General features: G+C 34.0%; 1 protein-coding gene across 1 annotated transcript; it reads left to right on the top strand.

Annotated features, from left to right (window-relative positions):
• Window positions 1-3,556: 3,556 nt before the first annotated feature.
• OR11H4 (olfactory receptor family 11 subfamily H member 4) lies at window positions 3,557-8,620 on the top strand. The gene is made up of 2 exons (NM_001004479.2): window positions 3,557-3,602; window positions 7,082-8,620. The coding sequence occupies exon 2, from the start codon at window positions 7,093-7,095 to the stop codon at window positions 8,035-8,037; it is 945 nt and encodes a 314-aa protein (NP_001004479.2). The 5' UTR covers window positions 3,557-3,602; window positions 7,082-7,092; the 3' UTR covers window positions 8,038-8,620.

Consider the following 8,620-nt stretch of genomic DNA (forward strand, 5'->3'; position numbering starts at 1 on the left):
TTTTTGTTTGTCTGTGCCCTGCCCCCAGAGGTGGAGCCTACAGAGGCAGGCAGGCCTCCTTGAGCTGTGGTGGGCTCCACCCAGTTCGAGCTTCCCGGCTGTTTTGTTTAGCTAAGCAAGCCTGGGCAATGGCGGGCGCCCCTCCCCCAGCCTCGCTGCCGCCTTGCAGTTTGATCACAGACTGCTGTGCTAGCAATCAGCGAGACACCGTGGGCGTAGGACCCTCCGAGCCAGGTGCGGGATATAATCTCGTGGTGTGCCATTTTTTAAGCCTGTCGGAAAAACGCAGTATTCGGGTGGGAGTGACCCAATTTTCCAGGTGCCGTCCGTCACCCCTTTCTTTGACTTAGGGAACTCCCTGACCCCTTGCGCTTTCCAAGTGAGGCAATGCCTCTCCCTGCTTCGGCTCACGCACGGTGCGCGCACCCACTGACCTGCACCCACTGTCTGGCACTCCCTAGTGAGATGAACCCGGTACCTCAGATGAAAATGCAGAAATGGCCCGTCTTCCGCGTCGCTCACGCTGGGAGCTCTAGACCGGAGCTGTTCCTATTCGGCCATCTTGGCTCCTCAAGCTATATATTTATATATTATATATAAATATATAGTATATATATTTATATATTATATATAAATATATAGTATATATATGAATATATAGTATATATATTATATATAATATATAGTATATATATTTATATATTATATATAAATATATAGTATATATATTATATATAAATATATAGTATATATATTTATATCTTATATATAAACATATAGTATATATATTTATATTATATAAATATATAGTATATATATTTATATATTATATATAAATATATAGTATATATATTTATATATTATATATAAATATATAGTATATATATTTATATCTTATATATAGTATATATATTTATATATTATATATAAATATATAGTATATATATTTATATCTTATATGTACTATATATATTTATATATTATATATACTATATATATTTATATATTATATAGTAAATATATTTATATATAATATATGGTATATATATTATATATTATATATAATATATATACCATATATTATATATAGCATATATAAATATATACCATATGTTACATTTGGCACATATAAAATATATACCATATATTACACATGGCACATATAAAATATATACCATATATTACACGTGGCACATATAAAATATATACCATATATTACACGTGGCACATATAAAATATATACCATATATTACACGTGGCACATATAAAATATATACCATATATTACACGTGGCACATATAAAATATATACCATATATTACACGTGGCACATATAAAATATCTACCATATATTACACGTGGCACATATAAAATATATACGATATATATCACGTGGCACATATAAAATATATACTATATATTTCACGTGGCACATATAAAATATATACTATATATTACATGTGGCACATATAAAATATGTACTATATATTACATGTGGCACATATAAAATATGTACTATATATTACATGTGGCACATATAAAATATGTACTATATATTATATGTGGCACATATAAAATATGTACTATATATTATATGTAGCATATAAAAAATATATACTATATATTATATACCACATATATAAAATATATACTACATATTATATATCGCATATATAAAATATATACTATATATTATACATATACTATATAGTATATATTCATATAGATATAAATATATCTATATATATTTTATATATTTATATTTATATTTATATACATATATTATATATATAATATATTTAAAATATATATATTATCAAATATATATAATATATTATATATAATATATATAAAGTATATAAAGATATATACTTTATAGTATATATCTTTAATATAAATATATATACTTTATAGTATATATCTTTAATATAAATATATATACTATATATACTATACATACTATATAGTATATATAGTATATATACTATTTATACTATATTATATATAGTATATATACTATATATATATATATACTATATATATACTATATATATAATATAGAATATATTATATATAATATAGAATATATTATATATAATATAGAATATATTATATATAATATAGAATATATTATATATAATATAGAATATATTATATATTACATATTATATATATAAATATATTACATATTATATATAATATATTATATATTATATATAATACGTATTATACATAATATATTATATATTATATATAATACATATTATATACATATTATATATATTATATATATTATATATAATATATATTATATATAAATATATACTATGTATATTTATATAGTATATATAATAGATGGTATATATATGCTACATAAATATATACTATATAAATATATAGTATAATTATCTAAATTATATAATTATAATTATATAATTATATAATTCTTAATTTATAATATATAAATTTATATATTTATATATAAATAAATATATAAATTTATATATTTATATATAAATAAATATATAATATATAATTATATATTCTATATAAATATAATATATAATTTATAAATATATAAAAATATAATTATATAAATATATAAATATATATACTATATAAATATATACTATGTATAACATACACTATATAGTATATAAATATATACTATATATAATATATAGTATATAATATTATATATAATATTACATTATATATATTTATTATAAATATATATTATATATATTACATATATTATATAAATTATATATATTTATTATATATTATATATAATCTATATATAGTATATATATTATATATAAATATATATACTATCTATTATATATAAATATATATATACTATCTATTGTATATATTATAGATGAGCCCCAGTGTTGGAAAGAGAACGCACTCCAGGGAAACTTGGGTAAGCCACTGAAACCATATGGGGAGAAACACAGGGCTTTACAGTAATCCCTGAGTGAAAACATAGATGTAATACTGATTCGCATGTTAAACCTCTCAGCAAATTCTGAGAAAAGCCTCTGGAGTCTCCAGGAATGAAGGCAGGGCAATAAACCACATATAATGCCCTCACCTGGAGTTTTCCTCAACAGAGCCAGTGAAGAGGAGATGCTTGATGCTGAGGTTATGCTCAATTCTGCCTCATTTCTGCCGTGCGCACCGCTGTCTCCAAACTGAGCCAGAAAAGCCATGATTGTAGGTAAGAAACCACTGCTATGATATGCTACAGAGTCTCTTTGACTTTATAAATCTGATTAGGCACTGTTTCTCTGCAAAGACTCAAAGGAGGCAGTATAATAGTATAGTATAAAAGTTCCATATGTGAATCCAGGACACATATTTATTGGGTAAAAAGTCATGCCCCTCTCTGAGCCTCATTTGTAAAATGAAGTTAGATCATTATACCATTTCTTCTAATTCTATGATTTTATGGTCATTAACAACCATCTTTCTGAAAACAATCTTACTTTCCAGGAATAATCAGGTGGTGTGTTCCTTCTCTCAGGACACCTGGGAAGACAATATACTAAGTGAGGGGCATTCAACAGAAGGCTATTAAATCAAGCTATCACACTTATGGTAGGTGGACTGGTGGGTTGATTGGTTGGTTGGTAGTTTCTTGTACTGGAAAGGAGTACAGTACATGAAAGAGCTGGTTTCGGCCGGGCGCGGTGGCTCATGCCTGTAATCCCACCACTTTGGGAGGCCGAGGCAGTCCGATCACGAGGTCAGGAGATCCAGACCATCCTGGCTAACACGGCGAAACCCCGTCTCTACTAAAAATACAAAAAATTAGCCGGGCGTGATGGCGGGCGCCTATAGTCCCAGCTACTCAGGAGGCTGAGGCAGAAGAATGGCGTGAACCCGGGAGGTGGAGCTTGCAGTGAGCCGAGATCGCGCCACTGCACTCCAGCCTCGGCGACAGAGCGAGACTGTCTCAGAAAAAAAAAAGAAAAAGAAAAAGAAAGAGCTGGTCTCCTAGGATTGTAGCTCAAATAATGATATATCTCAAAAATCAGGAGAAACAGTATGTTTGTGTCATAAAATAATGAAGATTCTATTCTAATTACCTAACTATTCCCAGACAGCGTTTTGGAGACTTTGGAGGGTGGTGTTATATAAAACTTTGTGGAAACAGTTTATTCCGTCAATGCGAAAACTCTGAAATTGATTACTCGGGTCTTTCTATTAAGCTCCCCAGCTTTTGATCATTCCATTACTTATCTACACTTCTCCAAAGGCTTCAGAAAAAACAATGTTGCTGCTAATAAAGCACTTGCAGAGTAGGGTAGTAGAAAAGACGAAGTGTAGTGTAAAGTTGTCAGTGTATAATGGAGAATGTCCTAAACTGTTATTCTCATCAAGCAGGCATTCAGAACAAAGGGCGGGAGGCTCAGATCTCACAATTCTGGTTCCCAATTTAAGTCTGAGCCTGGACTTGTTCTCTGACCTGTGTATAGCAGAGAAAGGGATGTATTTATGCTTCGTAAACAACAATCTGGAAATCACCTATTGAGCACCTTATTCAAGGAAGATGGTAAACAAATGCCTTTTAAATTCAGCATTGATTGGAAAGCTGGACAACTTTAGAACTCAGATGCTCCAAATTTCCCTTTTTATGCATCCTTAAAAACTACCAAAGAACTAGTGATGTTGAGATTCAAATCTTCGTTCCCAAGAATACCTGATCCTTCCTTCAACTTCTGTGTTCTTTGTTGCCTTTCACATTTTTCTTTTACATTTCTGACAAAGTTATGACTGGTGACCTGCAATAAACAAGACAAGAGATCTAAACTTAACAAGAAACTCAATATTGAAACTACCTTCTTTTTTTTTTTTTTTTGAGGTGGAGTCTCGCTCTGTCACCCAGGCTGGAGTGCAATGGTGTGATCTCGGCTCACTGCAACCTCCACCTCCTGAGTTCAAGCAATTCTTCTGCTTGGCCTCCCAAGTAGCTGGGATTACAGGCACGCACCACCACACCCAGCTAATTTTTGTATTTTTAGCAGACAAGGGTTTTCACCATGTTGGCCAAGCTGGTCTCAAACTCCTGACTTCAGCGATCTACCCACTTTGGCCTCTCAAATTGCTGGAACTATAGGCATAAGACATTACGCCCAGCCAAAACTACCACTTTTTTAAGACTTAATCAGCACATTTTAAGTATTAATCAAGTATAAGATTACTGTTGTTTAAACACATTTGTGTATTTTATTTAATTCTTAAATACATAAACTTGTTGCTACTGAAAAGTACATACCTAGTCAAATATTTGAAAATGTCCTTACCTTCCTTTCAGTAAACAAAATTCTAATACATAGGATTGCAGATGAAGCCCCATTTCATCTCAGATTCTTTTAGAAAATCCCTTTGTTTTCACCACCGAAAAAGCTCACTAAATAAACTAAATTTTTGTATAGAAAACATCATTTTCCTTATTTCATCTACATGGTATCTGATTACAAAAAGTAAGATAGTTCCTTTTTGTATAGTATGTGTAAAAAACATAAAAATAAACACTGCCGTTCGTTAGAGATGTTTTTAAAATATTATCATGGAGTTGTATCTCCATGCAGCAGTCAATCTATTTTGTTTTGTTCAAACATCTAAACCAATTTTATTTTTTTCAGTTATCCTCAAAATGTCTTTTCTAACAACTTGTGCTAAATAAGAGAAAATTGATGAACTTGTGCTAGAAAACCCATAATCAACATTGGAAAAACAAATCAAAAGCTGAAAAGGTCTTCTCAAGCATCCAAGGAAAAGAAAGAAAATAAATTTGTCTGGTTCTGCCACTAGTGTCTGGAGAGGTGGCCTGCCCCTCCACACCTGTGGGTATTTCTGGTCTGGTAGGACGAGAGACTGAGAAAAGAAATAAGACACAGAGACAAAGTATAGAGAAACAACAGTGAGCCCAGGGGACCGGTACTCAGCACACCAAGGACCTGCACCGGCACCGGCCTCTGAGTTCCCTCAGTTTTTATTGATTATTATATTCATTATTTCAGCAAAAAGGAATGTAGTAGGAGAGCACGGTGATAATAAGGAGAAGGTCAGCAAAAAACATGTGAGCAGAAGAATCTATGTCATAATTAAGTTCAAGGGAAGGTACTATGCCTGGATGTGCACGTAGGCCAGATATATAGTTCTCTCCACCCAAGTATCTCAGTGAAGTAAAGAATAACAAGGCAGCATTACTGCCAACATGTCTCGCTTCCCACCATAGGGCGGTTTTTCTCCTATCTCAGAATTGAACAAATGTACAATCGGGTTTTATACCTAGACATTCAGTTCCCAGGGGCAAGCAGGAGACAGTGGCCTTCCTCTATCTCAACTGCAAGAGGCTTTCCTCTTTTACTAATCCACGTCAGCACAGACCCTTTACGGGTGTCCGGCTGGGGGACGGTCAGGTCTTTCTCATCCCACGAGGCCATATTTCAGACTATCACATGGGGAGAAACCTCAGACAATACCCTGCTTTCAAGGGCAGAGGTCCCTGCAGCTTTCCACAGTGCATTGTGCCCCTGGTTTATTGAGACTAGAGAATGGCGATGACTTTTACCAAGTATACTGCTTGTAAACATTTTGTTAACAAGGCACATCCTGCACAGCCCTAGATCCCTTAAACCTGGATTTTATACAACACACGTTTTTGTGAGCTCCAGGTTGGGTCAAAGTGGCTGGGGCAAAGTGGCTGGGGCAAAGCTACAAATTAACATCTCAGCAAAGCAATTGTTTAAAGTACAGGTCTTTTTCAAAATGGAGTCTCTTATGTCTTCCCTTTCTACATAGACACAGTGACAGTCTGATCTCTCTTTTCCCTACAGTGTCAAAAATTCTAGCTGCATTGGATTGCATTGGATTCTAGCAAAATAACACAGAGAACCACAATCAATTCAAAATTTGGTAGGACATATTCCCACCTGGTCTCAGATTATCTCATGTATTTTCCTGTATACCTCAAGTTCTCGTCTCAGTAAAATCCTTGAGATACGTAGCAAGCAATTGGATTACACTCCAAGAGACTTGGATTACACTCATGTCTTTCTTCTTTGTAGACTTAAGACCCATGAACAGGTCAGCAACACACATCGTGACAGAGTTTATTCTCCTGGGATTCCCTGGTTGCTGGAAGATTCAGATTTTCCTCTTCTCATTGTTTTTGGTGATTTATGTCTTGACCTTGCTGGGAAATGGAGCCATCATCTATGCAGTGAGATGCAACCCACTACTACACACCCCCATGTACTTTCTGCTGGGAAATTTTGCCTTCCTTGAGATCTGGTATGTGTCCTCCACTATTCCTAACATGCTAGTCAACATTCTCTCCAAGACCAAGGCCATCTCATTTTCTGGGTGCTTCCTCCAGTTCTATTTCTTCTTTTCACTGGGAACAACTGAATGTCTCTTTCTGGCAGTAATGGCTTATGATCGATACCTGGCCATCTGCCACCCACTGCAGTACCCTGCCATCATGACTGTAAGGTTCTGTGGTAAGCTGGTGTCTTTCTGTTGGCTTATTGGATTCCTTGGATACCCAATTCCCATTTTCTACATCTCCCAACTCCCCTTCTGTGGTCCTAATATCATTGATCACTTCCTGTGTGACATGGACCCATTGATGGCTCTATCCTGTGCCCCAGCTCCCATAACTGAATGTATTTTCTATACTCAGAGCTCCCTTGTCCTCTTTTTCACTAGTATGTACATTCTTCGATCCTATATCCTGTTACTAACAGCTGTTTTTCAGGTCCCTTCTGCAGCTGGTCGGAGAAAAGCCTTCTCTACCTGTGGTTCTCATTTGGTTGTGGTATCTCTTTTCTATGGGACAGTCATGGTAATGTATGTAAGTCCTACATATGGGATCCCAACTTTATTGCAGAAGATCCTCACACTGGTATATTCAGTAACGACTCCTCTTTTTAATCCTCTGATCTATACTCTTCGTAATAAGGACATGAAACTCGCTCTGAGAAATGTCCTGTTTGGAATGAGAATTCGTCAAAATTCGTGAGCCAAAGATGTGCCATACTTACAAGTTCTAACGAAGAACAAGGTCGAGATGTTGTCAGTTCTTTAGCAGTCTTTCAGTCCTCAGTCTGAGTAGTTAGAGGTTGTATATTTTACCTGGAAGTGTGCCCAGCTTAAATATGTTTCCAGCACTGACTCTTTAAACCTTAATTAACTGGTCTTCAACATCCACTTAAAAGTTTTCAAAGCCTGTCTTTATTAGAATGATAAAATGGAATTTCTACATGAGATGCCCTCCTGCTGACATGCCCCATGGTTCATCATTGTATATCTTCTTCCTCATTGCAACAAGACAATAAACCCAACTTTGTTCAACTACAGGTATGCTCCTAGGAGTCTTTGTCTGATGGGAATCAATAGTGGCACAATACCCAGCAAACGGTAAGGCCTCAGACATGTTTTTTAAATATCTCTATCTCAATTTTTTTTACTTACAACAATAATATGTGATTGTTGTAATAAATTCAAGCAATTCAGAAGAATGTCCATCTTCACTCCCATATTCACCAATTTTCCTATCTGCTCCTCAGAGTCAATACATCTAAATCCCTCTGTCTGGCACTCGA

Source organism: Homo sapiens, chromosome 14 (genome assembly GCF_000001405.40).
Source record: "Homo sapiens chromosome 14, GRCh38.p14 Primary Assembly".
NCBI lineage: Eukaryota > Metazoa > Chordata > Mammalia > Primates > Hominidae > Homo > Homo sapiens.